Below are 26241 nucleotides of genomic sequence, written 5' to 3'. Positions count from 1 at the left end.
AAATGGGCCCTAAAAGACTCAGTCATCTGCTCAAGATCTCCCTGAGCTAGGATTCCAACTAGGTCTTGATGTTGAAGTCTGTACTCCCTGGATGAGCACACATGAATACATAAGTGCCTGCAATGTCTACCAAAGATCACTTTGAGAGAGACAAGGCCTGAAATACAAAAATGCCTTGTTACCTCCAGGGACTTCATTTATACCCAGAGAGAAGCTCTGCTACTCTCCCCAAGCAATGACCATTGCCTGGGGCACTCTTCCCTACATGAAGGTAAACTGTCTAACTCTAAAATTATGAAGGGTGGCTATGGATTGCTCATTAGTGAGCGTGCTGCCCAGGCAGAGCCCCGGGACATGCTCTGGCATTAGCGTGACCCTCTAAAATGGTGGAGAAATTGCACTCTCGCTGGCATAGTTTGTAAAACATTTTTCCTCCCTTAAAACTTGGAATCAAGGTCACATTCTATTAAATCTGGGGCCTCAAATTGGAACATGGCATGGCTTTAAATGAAATTATACTTAAAGCGTAGCCAAAAGTTCATAGAACACTTAATTGTATGTGAGCCTGCACGTGTGTGAGAGAGGGGGAGAGACAGAGAGAGAGAGAAACATTAACCAGCCTATTAAAACAATGCATATCCCAGGACAGAAAGTGCACAGGAATTCAAAAACTGACCAATAACCATCTCCACTACTTTGTTTCTTCTTGGTTCTTTCTGTACCAGGGATACTTCTGTTTACTTAGGGTATTGATACATAGAACAACTATTTTTGAAGTGCCAGCTCCAGGATAGGCACTTCACATTAATTGTAGTAAGTCTGCATAACAATTCTTTAAGTTGTGAATTTATTAATATCTTGCCATTTCACAGATGGGAACATTGAGTCTTAAGCCATTAACTAATTTGCTCAAGATCTCCCAACTTGATCTCAGGACAAGTTGCCTCTTAGACCCTCTATCTTGCTTGATCGACAGTTGCTACTTTTTCCCCATCCACGTGAACTACTTACACCTGACATGTTTATGCACACCCGTTAATCTATTAGCTGGGCAAAAGCATGCCTCAACATAAAACTGACCTTCAAGTCCAGAATACAATGATCAACTTGAAAATGAGCCATTTTGCTGCTGTGTACTCCAAATCCACAGTCTTCTATGTTGGCCTTGCACTACCATCAATTCTTGAACTATTGCTCGAGAAGTGATCAAAACATGAAGCTCTAGTGTCCACAGATGAACCCACCCATCAACCCCAAATGCACAAATACAACATGCTCTTTTCTTTTGGTTTTCACATGCATCAAATCAGAGTTGAAATTCAATTCAACATATTTCAAGGTTTTATTTAGGGCAGGAAAGGACACTATATAAGGCAGTACCAGAGATCCAAAAATGGGTAATACAGTGTTTTCAGAGCCACCACATAAAGGTGTGAGGTTGTGTCCTGCCCAAGGCTGCCTGGTCCAAGGAGTGAATATGTCCAGAAATCCAGCCCTGCTACCTGGATTGTCAAGCCATAGTCTCTGATGCTGACTTGCATTTACTCAGATAAAAGGATGCCTTTTTCCAATTCTCCCAAAAGGCATCAAATGGCCTAGTGGAGCCCCAAGTTCACCTGCTGTTAAAGAGGTTACAATTGAATAGTGAGGAAAGGCAAGAACACACATCTAATAAAATATCAGTCAAATATATTGATTATCCTAGAAGAGGACAATAGGGGTTATGGGAACCTTAAATCTCATCAAACAGAAAGATGAAGAAAGTCTTCATGAGATTAGAGATGTGTGAGAAGCAATTGAAAAAAATGAGCAAGTTTTTTGCCATGTGAAGGTAGAAGGGAAGGCGCTCCAGGTTAGAAAATAACATGAGCACAAAAGTGGGAACTTCAGGGACTGGGGATGTATCACCTTTGGCAAAGGAATGGAGTATTTGTTCAGAAGTAGGGGGAGGTCAGTGTAAAAGGTTGGCTGTGCAGTGTAAAAGGTCTGTTAAGGTTCAAACCTTAAGGGCACACAGAGACAGCAAACTCTTTCCATGAGTAATGGGTGACTCCACAAGACCTGTGCTTTCAGAGGAACAGTGTGGACTCACTGTGCTGGAATGGATCAGAGGGGGACGAGGCAGGTGAAGAGGACTTGCTTGGAGACTTTACCATGGCCCGTTCCAGAAGCGATGCCAGCCCCAGCCAGAGTGAGAGCACAGCAGATGGAAAGGAAGATGATGGATGTGAAAGACGTGAAGGATATGCATGGATTATGTACAAGTACAGAGAAACTGCTGTAGAAAACAATTTTACTCTGAGTAAAAGCCAGAGTCATTACCATAGCTGACAAGACCCTCCATGGTCCCCTCCACCCCTCCATACTTCTCTGACCTCACCTCTCTCCCTCATTCTGCTCCAGCCATACCAGTCTCAGTGGTCTTCCTCACACACACGAAGGTCTCTCCCACCTTACACTTGCTGTTCCCTGTGCCTGGCTCATTCTCCCTCCCAGGTGTCACTTGGCTCATTTCCTCACTCCCTTCACATCTCCAAGAAGCATCCATGGACCTTCCCTATGTGAACTAGCTCCTCTCCAGCCCTGAAACTCCTTACCCCAACTTACTGCATTTTTTTTTCCATAGCAATCTTCAACAGCTGGCATACATATTTGTTGCCTATTATTTGTCTCCTTCAACTTCAAGTTTCTTGAGGACAGAAACTTTGTTTTACTCACTACAGTATCCCTAATGCCTGGGATGTAATAGTTGTTCAACAAAAATATATTGGCTAAAATAATGATATTATCAGCTATGTGAGTATTTTTAACTTCATTAAAGTCAGAAAAGGCCAGATATAAAACACACAGCTTTGGGAGATAGCGAGTTTCTTGATACGAGGTGAATTCATAATGAAGCAGGACAATTCACTGGAAGGAATGTTATAGTGAATAATAAGGGACTATTGGAGACCCTTTCAAGCCTAAGAACCTGCAAAACTAAGTATGGTGCTTTATACGTGTGGTTTCTCAGGAAATGGAGTGTCGTAATAGAGCATGGTGGGTTAATGCACAAACCCTAGAACCAGACTACTGGGTCCAAATCCTGGCTCTGCCACTTACTGGATGTTCCATCTTGGACTTCTTTGTGCCTCTCTCAATATTTCTCATGTCTCACTTATATTAAGTGCTGCACTGCTCTCCAGTCACTGTCTGACCTCCCAAAGTTAGGGTCCCAGGCATGACTACCTATCTCAGCCACTAAAAAATGGCTTTATGAAAGCTACAAGCCAGTAAGAGATCTTTTTATTTGTTTTTTTAATTTATGGTTTCAGGTGTCTGGGTGTATAATTTGTAGATGATTTATTAAACATACTTTTCCAAACTAGAATAATATAACCCAAAATATCCACCCAAGCATGATGTAACATTACAGTAGCCATGAGATATAAGTAGCAGGATTTAAAAAGCAAATTGAATTATATATGTGCGTAATAGTTTAGAATTGTACTGGCCGGTGACATCACTAGCTACATGTTGCTATTTAAACCACTGAAATTAAGTAACATTTAAAGTTCAGTTTTTCAGTCTTATTGGTCACTTTAAAGGCTAGATAGCAACCTGTAGTACCTAGTGGCTACCACATCAGACAATGCAGATGTAGAACATTTCTATCATTGTTGAAAGTTGCATTGGACTGTGCTATTGTGTAACTGGATAAATTCAGCAATTCAATTGTCTTTTGAAGAAAATAACCAGTGTTCCACATAGCTAATGCAATTTTACAGGCATATTCCATCTGAGTTAACCAACATTCCCGCCAACTCCAAAATTTTCCCCTAGCCCGCTTCCTTTTCCTCAGCTCCATGCTTTACCACCTTTACCCTACAGATCCATTTTGCTTCTCTCTGAATCAGTGGGATAGAACATCTCCTGGCAGCCAAACCACTTGGGAGTCTCCATCTGTTCTAACTGTCCTGGAGAACGTAACTAATGATGGCACACATCTTAGTCTCTCTAATGTCAGAGAAGCATGGTGTTTGAGAATTCGAAGCCACAAAAGGGCAATTCCACTCCCCCACCCCCCTGACTTCCTTTTCTTCACCATCAAACTTTTGTTTTGTTTTGTTTTGTTTTGTTTTTTTAAGATGGAGTCTTGTTCTGTCACCCAGGCTGGAATGAAGTGGTGCAATCTTAGTTCACCACAACCTCTGCCTCCCAAGTTAAAGCGATTCTCCTGTTTCAGCCTCCTGAGTAGCTGGGATTACAAGTGTGTGCCATCGTGCCTGGCTCAGTTTTTGTATTTTTAGTGTAGAGGAGGTTTCACCATGTTGGCCAGACTGGTCTCGAACTTCTGACCTCAAGTGATCCGCCCACCTCAGCCTCCCAAAATGCTGAGGTTACAGGTGTGAGCCACCACACCCAACTGCAAACTTTTTGAGAGAATAATCTATACATATAATCTCCATCAATCACTCTTTAACCCCTTTCTGTCTGGCACTTCTTAAACACTATGCTGGGTATGGGGCTGCAAAAGTAGATATTTAGGAAACTGAGGCCCAGAGAGATTCAGTAACTAGATGACTTATCTAGTGAGTAATGGACCCAGAATTCAAACTCAGATTTGTCAGCCTTGAAATTTTGTAGTTGTCATCCTTGCAGATCATTATGTTGCTGCCCATGGATCACAAGTCACCAATACATCTTACATACTGACTTTCTAGGTCCAGGCTCAGTCATCCCTGCCCCCAGCCTCCCTGTGCCAGGTCACCTATCAAGGTAGAGAAAGCATGAACAATGTTGAGTTAATAAGTAATATTTCCCCATTGTGAAGACCACTTGGATATTCTAAAAAGCTATAGAAATTTTCTTACAGATTATTCTAATAGTTATTGATTCGCTACCTACAAAGTCATTACTTGGAAGTCCTTTGTACCCTAAGATAACTTGCCTAACTATTCAGGAAGCATTTTGAGTTGCACGTATTAAATTGTGGTATGGGGAAATTCTCTAACTTTAACAGCCTTTTATGTGTATAAACATTTTTAAACTGGCAATTGCCTTCAGAAGGTCACATTGACGCAACATAATTGGTAATCATTAAAAAGTCAACACTGTCCCTTTTTTAACTTATTTTTTCTTTACATTTGAATATTTGACTTTTGTGTAGACAAAGACAAAGGAAAGGAAGCTTGTCCCTATTAAATTATCCTTAGAAGAACATTGAATTTGTAGAACATTAGCAAATTGCAATTAATGTGAACTATTGTTATTACTCGGAACTATCTTTCAGGGGTTAGAGATGTTTTTATTATACTCACTTGGAATATAAATTTGACTTGTAGATTTCTTTCAAGAATGTACTTCATCATTGCTAACTCATAGCAATGTAACCTAAAGATTGAGTGGCAGGACCAGATTAAAAATGAAAAACCAACCGTCTTCAGCAAGGAGCCAAATGTGGCAAATCACACACCATAGTGCATTAACTACCAGACTCAATTCTGACTAGAAAAGATGTACTCAGTCTCAGGTAGGCTCACACTATGGGAGATTTGAGAATAACCATCTATTTTCTAAACTAGTCTTGTATTTTGCCAGGCCAAATATCCCAGGCACATGTAGAAGCTTTTATGGGCATGGACCGTTATGGGATACGAGATTCTCACCACCACCACCCTTTTCTTCTGAGCTAACCACTGGGAAACTTGAAATATTAAAAGTATTTCAGTGGTCCTTCTGGAGTGACATAGAAAGAAATGACCCAAAGTCAGCTTCAGAGATGCCCTGGAGCCCTTCTCATTACCTCACCCAACCCTACCCTAAGCCCTTCATCATCTGGATGGCCTGAATCTAAGCGTAGAGAGAGTCTCCCAGCTGACAGATGACTCATCATGTCATTTAAGTTTGTCAGTCAATGGAAACCAGAGCTCCAAAGTCTCTGTCCAGGACTCTCCCCAGGGAAGCTATTAAGGAAAAAGCTGCCTTGCCAGACATTTCTGTCCAGCTGGCCTAACTGGTATGTGCAAGGGCATCTGCTTATACTCAGGGCCTGGCATGAGGAGAGGGCCCTGGAAGGGTGCTCAAGAAGGTTTGCCCTCAGTTTTCCTACCATTTGCTATGTACAACAGGCAGGAGAGAAAATAGGCTTAGCTACTAAGAAAGCCATAAGGAAAGCAATGAGCACCTTGAAACATAAACCGGTAAAAAGACATTAAACTTTCCCACTGCAAATGGATCTGGGTTCACTCTTGGGCCTAGCAGGCTGAACACTGTGCAGTAGAAAAGATTACATTTGAGGACAGAGATCTTGGATTCCCACCCCAACCTGCACTTAGATATGTGAACTTAAATTTTCCTATAACCTCACAGACACTCAGTTTCTTCATCTGTAAAATGAAAAGAAACAAAACAAAACTGTCCTTGCTCTGCCTAACCTGTGGGTAGCCATAAATCATATGAAAGCACTTTGTAAACCATAAAGAAAATGCTTTTTTTCTCTCTCAAATGTTTATTTCTAACCACAAACCTGTCTCCCAAGTCCAAGCTCACATTTCCAACTGTCCATTCCACAGTTCTTTCCAAATGGCTCATAGGTGTGCTGAGATATCTGCCCAGCCCTTCCAGTAGCCAGGTGGTGACTGGTGTGGCCAGAAAACTCTGCAAACCGGCCCCAACTGCAGAAGCCTCCTCTAGGGTTCTGAACACTGCTTTAGATGGCATTTCCTATCTGGCCCTCAACCCAAGTTTATTGAAAGAGCAAATGAATACTCTTTCTTTAAAAGCCTGCTCCTGCCAGCTTCCCTCTTCTGTTAGGGCTGATAAGCTTTCAGATTGTGTATTTAATGCAGAGGCATCATCCCTTGACATTTCTTTTCACCTCTCTCCATCCTATTAATCACCATTTTTCTTTTCCTTCTAACATCTTGGTGTCCCACAGAACCAGGTTAACTCCCTTCATATGACCTTGAAGAACTTTCTTTACCAGACTGTGGCTTAGCGTTCTTATTTGTGAAGTGAGAATATGCTATTTGCAGATCTGTTGTAAGAATTAAGTAAGATTCTGTATTTACCAAATGTATGGTACATGCTAGCTTAGTTCTATCTTCCAGCTAAGCTGGATGCCTCACTGATGTTCCATAATGCACAGCCTATCCCATTCCTACTTCCACAGCTTCAACTATGTTGTTTACCTTGCCTGGACTCTCCTCTCCCAACCCCCATTTCTGCCTGTCAGATCATATGCATCCTTCCCAACCATTTTCCAAATGCTGCCTACCTTTGGCATCCAGGAATAAACCCTACTTCCTCTGAACTGTAAGTAATTCTTACACTTTATTTAAAAACTCATGAGATATTTGACATTCCTACCTCACATTCTACTTTCATATATGCCATGTCTTCTTATGAACTTTCATATTCATCTTCCTTACACATCCTATTTACTTAACAAATGGTTTTTAAGTGGCTAAAAGAAATGACCAATCAATCAAATAAATAATGACTGTTGCCTGGACCTGGCACAAGACAATGGAAAGTGATTAGAAAGTGATGAAATGATTTAAACAAAGAGTCAAACACCAAAGACACTTCATATTTTGTGTGCTGATTTTTTAATGAACAACTTATAATCTTACAAAATAACTGGCTGTAGCTGTTTTACATTACAATACAGTAGATCAGCTCCTTTCACTACATTCCCAATCAAGCCATCCCCTTGGGTGTTAACTAATGCACTCAATAGTGATCACAAAGAATACAGGAAGTGCCAAGTTCAATGCCTTGTAATAGAAAAAAGAGAAGATGAGAATCAGGAAGAGCTCTTTACTTTCACAATCCCTTTACTTTAATTTCTGTCAGTATCTGCCCATTCTCCTCACCCTGTCCCCTTACCTGCCTTTCTGATTGGAGGCTGTCATGCTAGTTGTTAGAGCCAGCTAGCCCTGGGCCACCTGGGCACAATCAAACACACAGAAGAGTCTCTGAGAAAGGCTCTCAATGACCACATGGGTGGATAAGAGTAGCAGAATGTGGACCACCACATGGATTGAGTGTGAGTTGATGTTGCTGGGATCTGTGACCACAGTGTCTTAGTCCTTCCACTTTATCAGTGACCTGAGTTGCTCAAAACATCAGGTCCCAGGAACAAAGACTGGAAGAACCTGCTGTCTCTGAATAGCTATAGCTGACTATGGCTGGGAAGCCTTATAGCCTAAGAGGCTCTTCACACACAACAGGAACTTTCCTTTTGCTTTCCCAGAGCAGTGGTGAATTGCAGATAATAAAATATTTTAAAATGAAATTTAAAACAGAAATGTTCTTACTGTTGCTCTTGTGGAGAGACTGCATGAAGACACACACTGGCATGAACCACAGGCTCCATGTTCCTGAGCTGAGTAATGCCCAGGATAACAATTCCTCTGCCTCAATCTCAGACAAAGTAGGATTCTCCAAGGCAGAACTTAGAATGTGTCTAGCAATTTGGACATTTTCCCCAATAAAACAAGTTTATAAAATTTTGAAAATAGAGTGTCTAAACTTTTCCATTGTCCTTTGCATATTGAAGCCTATCAGAATCCCAAGAATAAATATGTTTGTCTTCTTGGGGGCACTAAGCATGACCCAAGACAATGAATGGTATCTGAACTACATTTTCTTTACACTAGAGATTAGTAGACAAAAGGTTTTTTTTGAATGGGTGAACTCTGCTCTTTCCTTTTCCCAATAACTTTGCAACCCTCATTCCACAAACCCACAGATTAATGTGGGTACATCACCTTATTCGTGTTTTATTCTCTTTCAGGATATTGTTCTTCCCTACGTGATAGTGTGGATAATATTTCTATCATTGTGGTAGTATTTCCTATTCCTATTTGCACAGCCATTGCTCTAGTGTTGATGGGAAGAGTAGAAAAACTGTGGTCAAAGCAAAAGAGCAGAAGATGAGAAGAGACCACAGCTGAGCTCTAAATTTTGTCTGTTCTTGGTTTCCATTGGAGAAGAAACTTTAAAGGAGACAAGCCTCACTCACAGCCTTCCTAAAATGAGTAAAACTAGAATGTTAAACAGAAACTGGCTCCTTACTCACTTTCCCTAGGGTCTAATCCAGAAACCGTTACAAGAAAATGTAACTGCAGTAGATCACATCCCAGTGAGCCTGGGATGTAAATAGAGAGAGGCTTAATATGGTCATTTCATGTGCATTCCATCTATTGGATAAGAAAGGGTAAAAACAACAAAATGGACATTAAATAGTTGAAATTCTTCTGTCTCCCCACAGAGTGTCACCCTTGCTCCATGCATTTCCATGGCTTGCTCAAGTCAAAATCTCTGGCTCACAGATTTTGTACATGATACTTGAAGAGAATTTATCTCAGATTCTTCATTGCTCAAGGGACCCACTTTGGTCTTCTTTGGAGACTTGGAACAAGGACCGAGTCTCCCTGATCACTTCCATTCTCATGCCCGGGCCTGGATTTAACCCTGACAGCTCTTGCCTGTTCTTTCATCTCCTCCCACCTTTCCCCTATATCATTTCCATAAAATTTTTCCTCCAGAAAAATCAACACTTGGTCATGTGACTGGCCAGACTTGGAGACTTCTAACAAGAAGTAGGACTACAGGCCAAGTATGAGGAGTGTGTGAGTTCCTGTAATCCTGGTGATCAGAGAATGGGCCATAGTACAAACTTGTTGACTGGCTGACAGCCACACTTGGAACAGGCATGTGTGGAAGTGCAGAAAATCCTAGGTCTCACCGACTCCAGTTGGGAGTTCTGAGAAGTTGACAAAAGTTAGTATATTCTTTGTGGACAGATATTCAAGAACCATAGTCTAGTTCTCCTGGACCCATCACCAATGGTATTCACACTCAACTTCCTATGCCTCTTAGTACCACCATTCCAACTCCCCATCTCCTTGGTCATAAAATGGGCCCAGCTCCCAGGTCATAAAAAAAAAGATGATTAGCTTTACATGCTAGCATCCAGAATTCCATCTAATTACTCTCTCTCCTTCTGTACTTCCCATTCAACCTGCCAATCCGCATCCATAGAAAGATGGGAAAATAAGTTGCCTTTCTGTCCTCAAAGTCTCAACATTCATCTTGAATGTGAACTTCACAGCAGCATGTGTGGAACAATGAATAATTTTTAGCTTAGTAAACAGCAAAAAATATAATATATATAATATATTTATATAATTATGTTTAAATACTTATAAAGAATTAATAACTAACTTCATTATTTAAGGGAAACTACACAAAAAGAAAAAGAGCCAGTTGAGAGCAGACAAGCTCTGAAAGATGGCAATCCATTCAAAATGGGTATTAACAGTATCCCTGCCAACTTCTCCTCTAGTATTTTGGTATTGGTTTACAAGTTGGGTGGGACTGAGTAGTTGGCAGGGGGTGGAGCGGAGAGCAGGGCAAGAGTTGAGGATAGGATTTAATAGAATATAAGTGAGGGAGGAGGGTCCTTATATATCTATCATATTTCCCCTTCCATGTTAATCAACTGCCACTTTAAAGAAACTTTTGCCTATGATTCTCTCCTACTTGGGCTACTTGATGAACTAGTTCACACCTATCAATATCCTCTTGCATTTCTTATAAGATCCTTCATGCTCTTCCTCCTTCTTCCATTTCATGATTGTTCTTCTTCATTCACCCTTTGTTTCCTCCTGGGTCGGCCTCTCTTTCTTACTGCCTCTGAGGCAGTGGAGGGAGGGGCTTGTTCCCACAGTTACTGATTTTCTTCTGCCTTGGGGTCCCGGCAGGTGCACTCATCCAGGTCACAGTCAGCAGCAAATGGAATGACCTAGGGGAATGAAAGGGAAGTAGAAATAGCTCATTTCTGTGATAGCTTCACACTTTTAAACGAGCTTTCACTTTCCTCACTTGGTCCCAGAGGAACTGTAGAATTATGTGCCAATATCACAAACTGGAAATTAACACGCAGTTTTCCCACTCACACATCATGTCACCATGTAGCCTTAGGCAAGGTAATTGTTCCTTGCTTCACTTTCCTCATATATAAACTAGGGAGGACAACAGAAACTACCCCAGAGGGTGTTTGTGTGATTTAAATAATGAGTATAAAGTTCTTATATATTGCCAAGCATCTATAACTACTATTCTATCAGTTCTAATATTACCACTCATATCTAAAAATACTGCTCTTACTGTTACTGTCACTTTCCCTGTAAAGTAGGAAAGATGAATGGTAGCATTAGCATTTTCTCTTTACAGGGAAGGGCAAGAGATGTGGGGTGACTTAATTCAAGGTAATGAGACTACTATATGGGAAGCCGAGACTAGCTACAGACTAGCACTCTGACTCCAACTCCTCAGTGCTCTTGGAACAATAGGAACATCTTTGCCATCCTCATAAAGCATGAGATTTTGCTCTTCTTGAGCCCAGGATATACTTTGACTTGGTGGAATAATGCATCTACCCACCCATTGTTTGTGGCTGTATTGCCTTCCTTCTATGTAACTATCTCTTCCTCATGCCAGAGATAGTCCGGAAAAAGTTACTCACTTCTGCTTGCACTGCTACAAACAGATAAATGCTACATCCATAACTAGCATCAGAAAAAATCAGGTATTTGGGAGAGGTGATATAAAAGTGGCAATGATTTTTCCTTTTGGGGCATTAATAATCTAATGAGATAAAAATAAATAGGCATATCACACACAATACTAGTCCAAGTACACTAAAGAGATGGGCTTGGTGATTGGGCAAGTGGGTAGGAGAATGGGTGGGGTTGTGTGGGGAAATTTTCCAGCATATTTGCACATTACTCTAAAATGTGATTTAGGAGTCAACAGAGGGGTGAAGTGCCTTTTCGATCCTAATTCCTGTGTATGCTGGCCACAGGCACTGAAATTTATTACAGACGATTACTAGATTTTCAGAGTGTGAGATGGGGAGAGAACTGCTTTATTTTTTCCTAAGTTATCTTGTCTTCCTACACAGAGATAGCTGGCCTGATTTCTGACCTTTGTTCCAAGCTCTTGATCTGTTTCTTAGTTTAGGATTTATTGGTTTTTAGAGCAAAAGACAGCCAAATTAAATAGTGATATGATGAGCCCCTGAGCACTCTGCATTAAATAAGTTAATTCACATAAGTGGTGAGAACAGTGTCTGCCACATATTGAGTAAGGATTAAACATTAGCGAGTGAGAGATGTAGTATTCAAGCCTGCATGTAGGTTATCATGGTAGGTATGGTTTTATTGTGGAGACATATACAAGGAAGGAAATAACATCTCTTGCTTATTTCAGATTTATCATATTGACCCAACTAGCTTCAAGTATCTTTGGAGCACTTAGATTTTTACCCATATTATTGCAAAGTTTCAGCTTATTCTATTTTATAAGGCTTAGCTTGAGCCTATCTGCTAATTTAACAGAGCCAAGAATAACAGGGATAAAGGGCATTAGAAAGGATAATTGCTCACGAGACAATCCAGAGAGTGCTCAGGTGGCTGGTGGCAGCCATTTAACATGTGCCTGCGAGATGCTTGTAACACACTATATAAAATTATTAATGTAATTATGGAGATGGTTAGTAACTGAATAGCAGTTTGTTGATAATCCCACCTCCCCCAGGGGTAAGGACAATTACTTTCCCTGCCTACAGAGATGTTTCTTGGACAATGATAAGCAGGTATGAGTCTTTCTGTAGCAAAAACCATGGCTTTTCTGAAAGAATCACTGAACTGACAAAGAACTAGTGTTGTCTAAGAACCTATGCTACCCTTAACCCTGTCACTTTAGAAGCTCCAATGTTTGTTCATTATAATTCCCTCCTAATTGTTGAATACAAACCCATTATTACACACCATGAATGAGAGCTAGCTGAAGACCCTGCCTTTATTCCTGAAGCCACTGCCTCCCCCATCCCCAGGTTCTCTCACTCACCTTCTTGGAGGAGAGTGTGGAAGAGCAGCAGTCTCCCCCGTCATAGTGGCAGTAGGCTCGGTTGTTGATAGTGTCACACCAACCATCTGCTTGGAAGGGCTGTAGGGAGGTTAGAAGGCAACATCTCAGTATAGCCTTATTATGTCTTGTTTGACTCTGCCACTCCTCCCATCCCAGCGTAATCCATACAGCTCCAGAGATATTACAGAAAAGCACCCAAGGTGCAGGACACAAATTGACCTAATATTTGCAAGAAGTTGAAAAAATCTCAAGACCACTAGGTCCAAGGAATTGTCACATTTCACTGGCAGCACTGCTCCTGGCCTACTCTAAGGTCTGAGATACGTCATTTAAACTCTTTGATCAACTTTTTTGCCTTCTTGTAACAAGAGGTCTTTATATTATATAGGTTACAAAACAGTTCAACATATTTTTAACTCTGTTGAGCATGGGAGAAAGCCTGTGCAGTAGGCAGGATTGGCCTCAAAAGTCCCACTTTTTTGGAAATGAGGATGCATAGAGATGATAAGAATTGCCCAGGTCACATAGCAAGTGTCAGATAAAGCTTAGTATTAGATGTCATGTAACTTGGTTTTGTACTGCTTCTCACATATTAACCTCCACCCCTCTCCTGGTGCACTGAAGACTGACACTTAGAGACCTGAGTAGTCCTTGGGTGCTATGAAGACTCAGATGGTGTCTGTCCAGCCCGCAGTGGTGCTCGGGTTGAGGACACCAGTGCTGTAACACAAATATTCCCACAGGTACAGCCAACTCATGCACAGAAACTAGATACAGGGTTAGAGCAGAGAAAGCTGTACTGTTTCCATCCACCACTGCTACTGCAGTAAATCAGCACGAACTAAAATGGGAAAGGCGTCCAGGCCAAACCAGAGTTAATGGAGTGTTTCACCCCAAAAGAGAATGTACAATAAGAACAGCAACAAGTTGTTAAAAAATAGCTCAGCAGCCCAATGCATTATTTCTCCAGAAAACTACCTCTGGAGGGAAATGTTGTCCTGCTGTATCCTGGAGGGTAAATCAGCCAGCCCACCTACTCAATAACCTGGCTGCTCCTCATCCTGAGAGATGCCCAACCATAAAGTCGTAGGAAACATCTTGTGGTCAAATTCTTTGGGCCACAGAACTCTTGAGTTCTGAAGCCACCTTCCAGTTTATGTGTTCAAATCACTTTCTCTTCCCCCGACCCTCCTTAAATGTCAAATAGAAGGACAGTTTTGTATTTTACCATGTTTTGATGAGATAGATCACTCAACTCAAAAATGGCCATTAAATAATTCTCAGCAATTGAGTTACATCAGAACGAGTTTATCCAAGTTATTACTTCCATGTTTTGATTTATTCTATGGGATCCTGATGTCATTTGAACATCATTCCAGATGTATACCAGTTTGCCAACGGCTGAGAAGCTGCTACTTGTGGGGTGGAACTCAACAGCTGCCACACAGCTGCATAGCAATGTCAGTTGTGAGCAAGAAGTGAAAATGAATTCTGCTTTCAGCACAGGCCTCACTGGGATAAAAGACAAAGATTCTGTAATGAGCATTTGTCTTTAATGCTGGAACCAGTTATTCTGGCTCTAGAGAACTTGGAATAACTGTAGAATCAAGACTCAGGTCCCGAACTGCAGCCAAATAATCAAAGTCAAAGATAACTAGTGCATCCTTAACACCTATAGATGCTCTTGGGTTCTTGCAGGATGACTGGATACATCTACGGAGTTTCCCCAGAGTTTCATTTTTCTCTTTCAAGTGTTTGGAGTGTATCTTATTCATCTAGCACTACATCTGTTACTTTTGCTCCAACCCTGACTGACTCATTGGCAAAACCTAGTAAGTTCCTTCTTTTTTTTCCATGTAATTGTCTATAAAAATCGAAGGAGCACCCAAAATACTTTTCTTACATGTATAAGTCTGGTCTTCATAATGGAAATTAAAGGTATATCTAAAGATATCTTTCTTTTCATAAGAACAATCTAAATATTTGAATGGGTTAGTAAAGGATCCCAAGGAATTTTTCTTTCTAAAGTCTTCAACAAGGGTCGCTTCTAATCTCAAGAACATTAGAGAACATATGTTGAAAAGAGCAATAATGATCTAAGTGACCTCCAGGCCCCACTGGACTTCCTTTGCTATAGCCTGGGAATTATTTCTAAAAGCTCCTTCTTTTCTGCTCTTAAAGAGTCATCTGGAAAGAGAACGAAGTTTATAGAAAAGAGAAGAAATACAGAAAAAAGGCTGGAAAGACCCAAGTGTTTAATTTACTATATACCTATTAGAATTAATTGCTCCTCCCTCAACCTGCCAAAATCAACCACTCCACCCTCAACAAACAGAGTCTCCTATGGCAACCTGTGCCTGGGAAGCTCGACAGTTTGAGTCCAAGGTTACAATGAAAAAATAGGAAAGGAAAAATGACTAATTGATCCCAAATTTAAAAATATCTGAAGACTGGATATAGACTAGAAAATTTTAATTTCAATAACTGAAAGATGTCAGTCTTAGGATATCACTCTAACCCACAGGCATCTTTTCCAAGAAAAGGTACTGGGCTTGGTTTCTCTGCACAATGTGTACATAGGTGAACGTCACCACCCATATGTATACCTTGCTTATTCTGTAACATCAGAAAATAAAGCGTTTCACATAAGTGCACTTTTCAAATATCTGAAGCTTATCCTGGTAAGGGTCACTTTTTAAATTTTTATTTTAACCATCTTGGTAAAACAAAAATATCTTTATAAAACACCCGTTTTTTTTTTTTTTTTTTTTTGCCTTTTAACAACATATAGAACCCAAAGTCATTAACATAGCTGTATGTTATTTTCACTGTATAGGAAAACTCTCCCCTTTGCTAAATGTGCCTCCTTTAAAACACACACACGCACACACACACCCCTCAGAGATGATTTATGTTTGAGCCAGAAAGTCAAGCCCTTAGCGTTATACCTACAGTGAATACTTAAATCTGAGAGAGCGCTTGGACTACTCTTCTTATGACGTATGAGCCTAATGATACCTATTTTCATTGTTATAGGAAGCCTTTTCTTGCCACGGCTTTTCTAGCTGGGTTCCAGGCAGATGAAATGGACAAATAATGACTGTGTGCAAGTGGTGGAATACGAAAAGGAAAGACTGTCAGTCTGCCCTACGAATACCGCTTCGGAAACTTCTCAAAAGTAAACGTAATTTCTTCTGCCTGTTATATAATCTGGCGATGTTTCCCATTTTGAAGTTGCTGTGGGGAGTTAGCCATAGAGATAGTGTGGCCCTGTCTGCTGTCTATGGGTATAGTCAGTCATTCAATCACTCCATATGCTTTATTCCACACCTATATGTGCCAGGCATTGTTATGGGGTCACAAAGATAAATGAAACATAGTTCCAGCCCTTGGGGAGGCCCATCATAAGCAATTTTTTTTTCATTTATTTTTTATTTTTATTTTTTTTAGCTCATGTGATAGTTCAGTGTAGCATCAAGATGTGAACAGGAGTTAAATACCTAATCCAGATTTTGGGGGTGAGGGAAATCTGCTTTTAGGAGCTGGCTCCACAACATCTAGGCCCCATGGAGAAGAGCTTAGGACTGGATGGTTCTGAGGAATCTGAAAGATGTGTCTAAGAAGAAGAAGAAATAGAAGGGTGAGTGGTCTCAGGCTGCCTATTACAGAGCCCAGGCTCGGGAGTAGTTCCATAAACATTGACTGATTGGCTGATAAGATCTCTCTTTCTTGAACCAGATTAAGAACACTGTTCTTCTACAGCTTGCAACAGAACTCAAGACCATGCTGATGTTTTAGAAAGGTTAGTTTGGACTTTAGAACTTCTGCATTACTAACCTACAGGTTGGAATCTTAGCCAAAAGGGACTGTATCTCTAAAGGTAAGGCATGGGACTGAATCCTATTTTATTATCTTGATGAGTGTTTCAGACCAAGAGAAGATGCTAATCAAATTTTTGCTTGAGGCCAAGCACTATTTTCTGTTTTCCACATCGTTTTCATAAAAAAAACTTCTCGTTATGTGAATGACAAATCAGAGCCACTTCAATTTCTTCATATTAATTCAGTTCTATCAGGCCCCAAAGAAGCTCCTTTCCAAATCAGGCATGGTGCAGCGCCTGATGAAGTTCTTGCAGCAAATAGAAGTTCTCTGTAAATCTACACAAATCTGTGCACTAATTTTCTTTTTCTCTGGCTCTTCAATGAATGGTGACCTCTGGCCTGATCTTCATTCTCCTTCACATCTCATGATTTACCTTATTGTGCCCACATATCCTGGGCTTCATATCCAAACAATGCAAAGAACATCAAGACTAGAGCCCTAGCACAAGGTCTCTCTTAGAATCTTGGGGGCAGAACCTGGGGGGGCCTGTAGGGCCCCTCAGGGACCTCTGATAATGAGACCACTAGTTGCTTATCAAAAAGATGAAAGACTGCCAGGCACAGTGGCTCACACCTGTAATCTCAGCACTTTGGGAGGCCGAGGCGGGTGGATCACCTGAAGTCAGGAATTCGAGACCAACCTGACAAACATGGAGAAATCCCTCTCTACTAAAAATACAAAACTAGCCGGGCGTGGTGGTGCCTGCCTGTAATCCCAGCTACTTGGGAGGCTGAGGCAGGAGAATCGCTTGAACCCGGGAGGCAGAGGTTGCAGTGAGTCAGGATTGTGCCATTGCACTCCAGTCTGGGTGACAAGAGTGAAACTCCGTCTCAAAAACAACAACAACAACAACAAAAGATGAAAGGCAAGTGCTTGTGAGAATGTGGAGGAAAGGGAACCCTTTCACACTGTTGTTGGGAATGTAAATTATGTGATCCAGCAATCCCACCACTGGGTATATATCCAAAGGAAATCAAATCAGTATGTTGAAGAGATTTTTTTGAACACCATAGATATATGAAATGCTAAGGCTAGATGACACCTTGAAGATTATTTAGTAGAAACTTCTTATTTTACAAATGATGAAATGAAGCCTTAAAAAGGTGAACTGTCTTGTTTTCAAGGATAGTTAGTAGCAATCCTGGGAACAGATTCCAAATCTCTAGATATTGGGTCTTCTGTTCTTTCTACGATGCCACACCACCACTATTTGATGATTTCATTAGTCTTTTAATTTACTGAGAAAGAAGGGTAACTTAAGTTCTTTTGGCACCTTTACAGAAGGGGCTTGGTACGGGTGTATTAAGTAAACCTAGCAATCTAACACAGAGACAAAGAAATGGTCATGCATAATCTCAATTCCTCTGGACCCCCATAGCTTCACTTTTTTTGTTTTTGAGATGAATTTTCACTTTTGTGGCCCAGGCTGGAGTGCAGTGGCATGATCTCAGCTCACTGCAACCTCCGTCTCTTAGGTTCAAGCGATTCTCCTGCTTCAACCTCCCGAGCAGCTGGGATTACAACATTGAGCCACCACAACTGGCTAATTTTTTGTATTTCTAGTAGAGACGGGGTTTCACCATGTTGGTCAGGCTGGTCTCGAACTCCTGACCTCAGGTGTTCCACCCGTCTCAGCCTCCCAAAGTGCTGGGATTACAGGCGTGAGCCACCACACCCAGCCCACAACTTCACTCCTGTTTTTCTCAGCTGTGGGTCAAGGTTTATCCCAAATAGGCTGCCTGGCACTGTTGCTCCTTCGGAGACTTGGGGCTTGGTGTATTCCCCTGGAGGCTGATATCCCCAGGAGGAAGCAACACTATGCTCCAATCACATCAACATATGCCTACAGCCCAGAAACACTTATTTCCAAGACTCAGAATGCTAAAACCAGACGTTTTGCTGCTCATTGCTGTCATGTGCGGAAAAAAGGAAATGTCGTTGTTCAACTCTTCCACTCTTCATTCCTCGGGATGGAGGGTCCCAATGATGACACATTTGTGGGTCTGCAAGTCTTCTTGGAATATGTAAAATTCAAATAGATAGATATCAAGATGGCTTATGCAGGAATAGTTTCTTAGGAACAATCTTCTCTGGAAAATTTCATCTGGCTTCCTGGACTCAGAAAGCTGTCCCTTCTCTGAGTTATGGTATATTTGATCCACATATTTATTATAGAGCTTAACCTCTGGAATGTATTTTCAAAGGCTTGGGATCTAATCAACTTTGTAGTCTCAGCTACTAGTTTAGTGACTGATGTAGGTTGTCAACAAATAAATAAATATGATTGTCCTATTTTGAAGTGGGAGGCAAACTACATTTCCTTAGCATACTTTATGACCAGATCCTTCCTTTTCATTATTCCTGTACTGCTAGAAAATTTGCTAGGTATGTTACCTTATGAGAATCACATAACTTAGACACAGGTCCAGATTTTATGGGCATCTACTCTATTTCTTACTATAAATGCATATACTGTAGACACTGGAGTTGAAATAAATCATATATATATATATATACACACACAGACACATATACACATATATATACACATATATATGTAGGTCATGTGTATGTATATAATATATATGTAGATCATCTTCTAAGTGAAGAACATGGTACACATCCATACATTTGGAGGTGTATCATACTTACGTTTCAGCCAGAAAGTAGGACAAGGCAGTAGAATATACTATGTAAGAATTACCCCTCTATAAACCATCTAAAATGTTAGATAAAACCTAACAATATTCTCTCAGTTTCACATCTGGCATCATAAGAAGAAAAAGAACATTTCCCAAAGGCCAAAAACAAAGAAACTGTAAACCAGAGCAGAAAGAAAGCAGTAAACCATGGCTGTCCTAGGAATGTTTGCAAATATCTGTGATCAAGTGGTTGGGTTTTAACAGGTGATCTGGAATAAGGGCCTAGGTCTTGGCCCTTTGTAAGGTAGGGAGTTTTTATGTAATCCTGTTAGAACTTTAATAAAAAGACAATGTTTATGAGGACTGATACAGAATGACACAATCACATTATGATGCTCCGCAGGTAGCTTGGCTCACTTGGGAGCCAAGAGATTTGCTCCTGCCTACCAGCTCTGAAGTCTACATGATTCAAATCCAGCCCTTGGCTAAGTCACTAACAGTAAGACGTTAAGGATCTTCTGTGTTTTCGGCTAACAGTTGAAGTTGTACAGAGTATCTCCTGGAAGGGCAAGGGTGGAATCTACAAACAAGAGATGAGAAGATGTAATTGAAAGAAAGACAATGAAGATACACATCCTGCTGGATGATCAGAGGAATGCCGACTGCGCGTCTACTTGTGTGGCCTCTCATGCATCACTGGTCCATGTGTGGTAGTACATCTTCTGTGTAGGACCTCAAACCACGGCCTGTGTAACCCAGCAGACCCTCTAAAAAGGCAAATGTGTACCTCTGCAGAGCCTGAAAGAGAAGGCTGATTATAATCAGCTTATCTACATTTGACACCAAGACCAAAGCAAAGTCTTAGAAATAATCAAATAGGACAAAAATCAATCTCCTCTGAGAGAAATAGTTGAGAAAAATTAGATGAGAAAAGAAAAGCAAGCAAACGTTAAGATAAAAAAGACATCTTTCATCTGTATTGACTTCACTTACTCCAAGGTACCCAGGGCGTAATAGTTCCTGCCCCAGAAACTATCAAGGCTATAGAGTATGGTGATTAAAAGCACAGAATATGGCCGGGTGCAGTGACTCACGCCTGTAATCCCAGCACTTTGGGAGGCCGAGGTGGGTGGATCACCTGAGGCCAGGAGTTTGAGACCAGCCTAGCCAACATGAAGAAACCCTGTCTCTACTAAAAATACAAAAATTAGCCAGGTGCAGTGGCACACGCCTGTAATCCCATCTACTTGGGAGGCTGAGGCAGGAGAATCGCTTGAGCCTGGGAAGAGATTGCAGTGAGCCGAGATCGCGCCACTGCACTCCTCCTGGGTGAGAGTGAGACTCTGTCTCAAAAAAAAGAAGAGCACAGCGTATGGTTTTACATAAACCTATGCTCAGATCCCAGCTCTGCTCCTTACCAACAATCAGAATCTGAGAAAATTTCTTAACAATGAGCAGCAGTGTTCTTGTTAGTGAATGAGAAAAATAGCACCTACCTCACAGAATTGCTGCAAGGAATAAATGAGCAAATGGAGGTAAAACACATAGCACAATGCCTGACCTATAGCAAGCATTCAATAATTCATAATTTTATGAAAGCAGCAAGAAAACTACCATTGCTTTTACCATTGCAGGTTGGTGCCTGAATTGTCTCCCTAGAGACTCTGGTCAGAAAACTTCAAGATTCTGCCACCAACACTTTAGTCAAAACCAGGCATGCTCCATCCCTGAGAGCCTCCTTCCCCATTCACTTTTACCACCAATGCATGTACCTGAGTCATGAAAGACAGAGTCAGGTGACAAGGGAAACAGTTTTGAAACTTATAAAAACAGAAAAGAAATGGTCTAATTGGCTCCTGGAAACCAGGGCTCTCTTCAAAAACCATAATGGTGACTTGGGTGTCTTAGCCTCTGAAAAAAACCCCAAACCATCACACAGATATTTCTTCTCTGATATGTGCTGCAGGAAAACAGGAAGGTGAGGAGACTCTCTGGGACTTACTTTTCAGCCAAAACTAACCTCACGGCCCTTTTCAAATAGTTGCAAATAAAGACTCAAAGTCACACAAACTCTCTACCTCACTGCAAGCACACACTGACCTGCTTCCCCATGCAGTCTCTCCTCTGGGAGAGACAGTTCTATATGAGTGGTCTTGCCCACCTCAAGGCCAGGAGGAGGGCAGTGCTGGTGGATGGAGTTATAGTCCCAAAGGGTGAAAATGGGAAAGACAGTGTTCAGGTGATATCCATGCACATTTGTGCAAGAAAAACACCAACTCGAAGTTGAAGCCTGGCTCCTTAAGGACAGAACATCCCTGCACAGGGCCCTACTGAAAACAACAGCACTTCTGTGAAGTTTTTATTGGCCCTCCTGTTGAGAGCTGCAGCCTGAGCCATTCCTGACGGGAATGTGTCCTGGCCCTCCTCTGACTCAGAGGCCTTGCTGATGGTAAGGTGTTGGGTACCTTTTGCCCTATCTCTTCCCTCACCTGTTACCAAAACTACACAAGATACACTTTGAAGGCTGTGAAGGCACCCAGTGCTCCACTTCCCCAACCACCTTTATTCCTTCTGCACTGAATCACTCCTTGACCCTTCTGCACCAAACCCAACTCCATGTCCTAAAACAAACAAACAAAAACCGAAAAAACTTTTGTCTACCCCTCCATCAGTGTTTGCTGTCCTCCATGTGACCCCCTTTTCTCCAGTGAAGCTGATCCTGTACAATTCATTTGTCAAGATTTTATTCCAGTGATTCCCAATCCTTTGCTGTCAAAAACTGTTTTCATGACACTGTCATCCTTCCTCCTCTTCTAAGTACACAGCAATGCTTCTTAAAATGCTGCCCAGGAACAGCAGCAGTCCATCAGGTGGACTCATTGCCAGGCTTCCATAGTACCAATGTTTGTGACACAGCAAAGTCTGTGCCGTGGGCTCCTACAAGAATTAATAATGACATACCATCAGACCTCACTGTCCCCATTGCAGGGCTGATAGGCCCATGAGTTCTTGTAATTTCCTTTTTCTTGCTTTCATGTTGGGAGTGGTGTAGATGGTCTGCAAGGTCTTCAGATACAGTCTTACTGCATGACATTTGGCTCTCTTCTTTAAACAATCAATGGATTAACAATCATTTGTTTAGGGAATATCCTGCTTCCCTTTTCAGCTAATTGGAGCCAACCAACTGTGTATTAAGGTCAGACATAGAAACCTTGAACAAAAGAGGTCCGCAACTCTGCAAGGACTGTGGGGGCAGGAACACTTCCATTTTTGTCTCTTTTCTGTTCCCTTTTCCTCCATCAGCAATAAACCCTGTGCATCAGCGCAGTATCCAATACATTACAATATGTGCTTAATGAATATTTGATGGATTAAACTAGTGAATTCTCTCCAGAATTAACTCTATAAAACTAAAAATTCAAAACAGTTCTTGTATTTCACTCCTCTTACCTTTCCTCCAAGATAAGGTAAACATTCCCCCTGTCATCTATTTGTTTGTCTGTTTTTAAAAATTTATTTTTTAAGAGATGGGGTCTGGCTATGTTGTCCAGGCTGGTCTCAAACCCTTGGGCTCAAGCAATCCTCCTGCCTCAGTCTCCCAAGTAGCTGGGACTACAGGTATAAACCACCATGCCCAATTATTTCCCCTATCTTGTCCCTTTGCCTCCCAGGTATTTGTTTTCACTATCAATTACTCACCCCAAAATATCACCTGAAAACAGCTTGGTGTGGCCTTCCAGTCATAGGCTCATTCACAGTAGACTCTTCCAGACATCAAACTTAAGACTACAGATGAATGAAATTGAGAGCAGAATTTCAGACCACTGCAGGCATCCTGCCCAGTAAGGTGGGACCTTCCAGTGCCTTTCTCTGGTCACCTCTCTAGGTGGCCACTCACTGTGCCCCTCCTCTCTGGGCCCTTGGCCAGCTGCTGCACAAGGCCACATCCCACATAATTGAAACATGAGGCGGTACATGCTCTGTCTGGATGGAGCTTACATAGCTGTGGGAGATGAAAGGATGAGGAGACAGGTACAAGTCAGAGACAGATTACATGCAGCTGAGGGAAGAAAGGAAAAGCATGTGACCCCACAAGAAGGCCCGGGACAGACTGTTAGGTCCTGTTTGGACTTTGATCCTTAACTTCCCTTCGTCTCTGTCTCCTGGTTCCTCGGCCAGCATTCAGTTCATGGGAGGCTGAGGCAGGCCTGAGCTGGTGACCAGAATGTTCCACCACAGCCCCAGCATGCGTGCTCATCCCTGCCTGTTCACCGCATGCAGGCACATGCCAGGCAGGCCAGCATTTCTTGGCTCCCTGAGCCCGCCTGTGGAAGGTGACTGGGAATGCAGACTGTGGGAGGAAACGACCGTATGCCTTGTTTGGATTAAATATTTTTCTTGGCCCTCCTGCTGTTTGCTGAGCATCTTTTTTTTTTTCCCCATTCTCTCTCATTCTCTCCCTCCTTCCCCCTTCCATCCTTCCCTCTCTTTCTCAGCAATCAAGTACATTGAGAGGAATTTTGAGGATTAAGCAGAGACTGCTAAGGTGAGAACTGTTTAAAGAAAGCACAGCAGTTGACAAGCCTTTTCCCATTCTGATACCACATCCAGCTCTTTACAAAGATGAAAGTGTTTCACTTTGGGGTAAACTTTAATCTACGTTTCTTTGAGTTTTTGTTAGTGTTCTTTTTCTTTCCTTTATTTATTTATTTATTTATTTTTTTGAGATGGAGTCTTGCGTTGTTGCCCAGACTGGAGTGCAGTGGCATGATCTCGGCTCACTGCAACCTCCATCTCCTGGGTTCAAAAGATTCTCCTGCCTCAGCCTCCCAAGTAGTTGGGAATACAGCTGCCCACCACCACGCCCAGCTAATTTTTTGTATTTTTAGTAGAGACGGGGTTTCACCATGTTGGCCAGGCTGGTCTCGAACTCCTGACCTCGTGATTCACCCACCTCAGCCTCCTAAAGTGCTGGGATTACGGGCATGAGCCACCACGCCCGGCCTTTTGTTAGTGTTCATAGCACTTGTTTTCTCTCTTTTATTCTCTTTCATATCTATGCAATGCATGTGCATATGTATGTATATGCAATTGTATACATATATCCGTATGTATATATTTGTATGTACTTATATACACATATGCATAGATGTGGTAAATATATATGATACATATATATGCTTCTCCCTTTCTCATATGTATTATACTATGTGTATAATAATTAATAATATATAATCTATATTATAGATCTGTAACATAAAGTATATTTTTATTTTATACGCACGTATAGATGCACACAAATTATCTGAAACCTTCCGGTATAAGGAACAAACCTAAACGTAAAACTGTTTTTACAAACTACAAACCATTATATAGAAGCAAAATGCTATTTTTGTTTTATATAGGTGTGTGGTGTGTACTACAAGGTTTGTACATGTGGTTTTATGAACCCTTGCAATAGCTCTGTTATTGGGCCCATTATTATGACCATTTTACAGGTGAAAAAAAATAAAAACTGGCGCTGTTAAGGAATATGTCTGATGATAATGTGTCTGATCACGATGATAGGGAATGTGTCTGACGATAGAGCCATTGTCTGGTGTTCAGGCCTGTGCCCTGACCATCCTGATATGCTCATGCTGCCTCCAGCATTGTTATCATGTATTAATGATATGCCTCACTCTACTGCTTGGTACTGTACACCTGGTCTAACCTCTCACTGAAACTATGAGAATGAGGCAGCCACCTTCTGCCTAAGGAAAAGTCAATGTCACAGATAGCCATGAGAAATGTATTATATAGTATTTTTTAAAGGAAAAATAGAAAACTTTCTTTTATAATTATCCAGAAAAAATCCTTTACATTTTGCCAAAATTACTCTATACAGTAAATTAACATCTATTTTACTATAAGCCAGGCATAGGGTTAGTTGCTAGAATCCTGGGATATTTGATCAATACGTGTTTAGTGTGTCTGCTATGCACAAGGCACCACAGAAGGTTCCTGGGTGACAAAGTATTTGCCTCAAAGAAGTCATTGTGGCATGAGTGCTGCATAATACAGAATCTGAACTGCACCTAAGACCATAGGAAAGAAATCATAGGTAAATGGAAGGTCAGTTCCCAGAGTAATTAATGGTACCACTAATAAGAATGATAGCAGTGCAGAAAGAGGACCTGCCTGGAGCATTTTAGAAAGGCTTTATGGGGTACATGGGATTAAACCTAATCTTTGAAGAATGGATAGGATTTTGGCAGAGAAATGGGGAGAATAACCCCAGCAGGAAGGCCAAATATAAGCTGACATTTCAGATGGTAAAAGAAAAGATATATCTGTGGTTTTCTCTTTCAAATATTAATGATGCAAGTTTGGAACTAACTCAAAATCTCCATCCAGAAGAATTTAATCTGTATTCTGAAGACAATAGGGAAAAGCTAAAGTGTTTTTTTTCCAGAAGAAGAAATGATAAAAGCTGTGTTTTGAAGGTTAGATCTGGAGATAATACAGGGAACGTTCAGAAGACAACTGGAAGGGCCAGGACCAAGTAGGAGTTGAGTTCAAGCAATATGAACGAAGAAGAACAGAACTGGCTGTCCATAATATGGAATAGAAAAAGGCAGATAGGAGGGGTTTTGTGAAGGAAAGTCATCAGGACCACTTGAAAGGTCATATATGGGCAGAAGACCAGTGGAGATGAAGGCTTATCTATGACATTGACTGTTCAAATCATGATGCACTTTTCTAAAATAATTTGATCACTGAAAATCTATCTAGAAGGTATCCTTACCACAAT

At 41.3% G+C, this 26241-nt stretch overlaps 1 protein-coding gene across 6 annotated transcripts in view; it reads right to left on the bottom strand.

The window, feature by feature from the left end:
• Window positions 7574-26241, bottom strand: part of PAPPA2 (pappalysin 2) — a 382427-nt gene continuing 363759 nt past the window's right edge. For all 6 annotated transcript variants that reach the window (XM_047427180.1, XM_017002024.2, XM_017002023.2 and 3 more), the window contains 2 exons: window positions 12904-13002; window positions 7574-10795 (listed from right to left, as the gene is read on the bottom strand). In XM_047427180.1, the coding sequence (XP_047283136.1) occupies window positions 10721-10795; window positions 12904-13002 (174 nt within the window). In that variant the 3' untranslated portion in view covers window positions 7574-10720. The remainder of the gene's footprint in view (window positions 10796-12903; window positions 13003-26241) is intronic.

This window comes from Homo sapiens, chromosome 1 (genome assembly GCF_000001405.40).
Source record: "Homo sapiens chromosome 1, GRCh38.p14 Primary Assembly".
Lineage (NCBI taxonomy): Eukaryota > Metazoa > Chordata > Mammalia > Primates > Hominidae > Homo > Homo sapiens.
The sequence above is the reverse complement of the archived record's forward strand: the minus strand, read 5'-3'. Positions and strand labels throughout refer to the sequence as shown.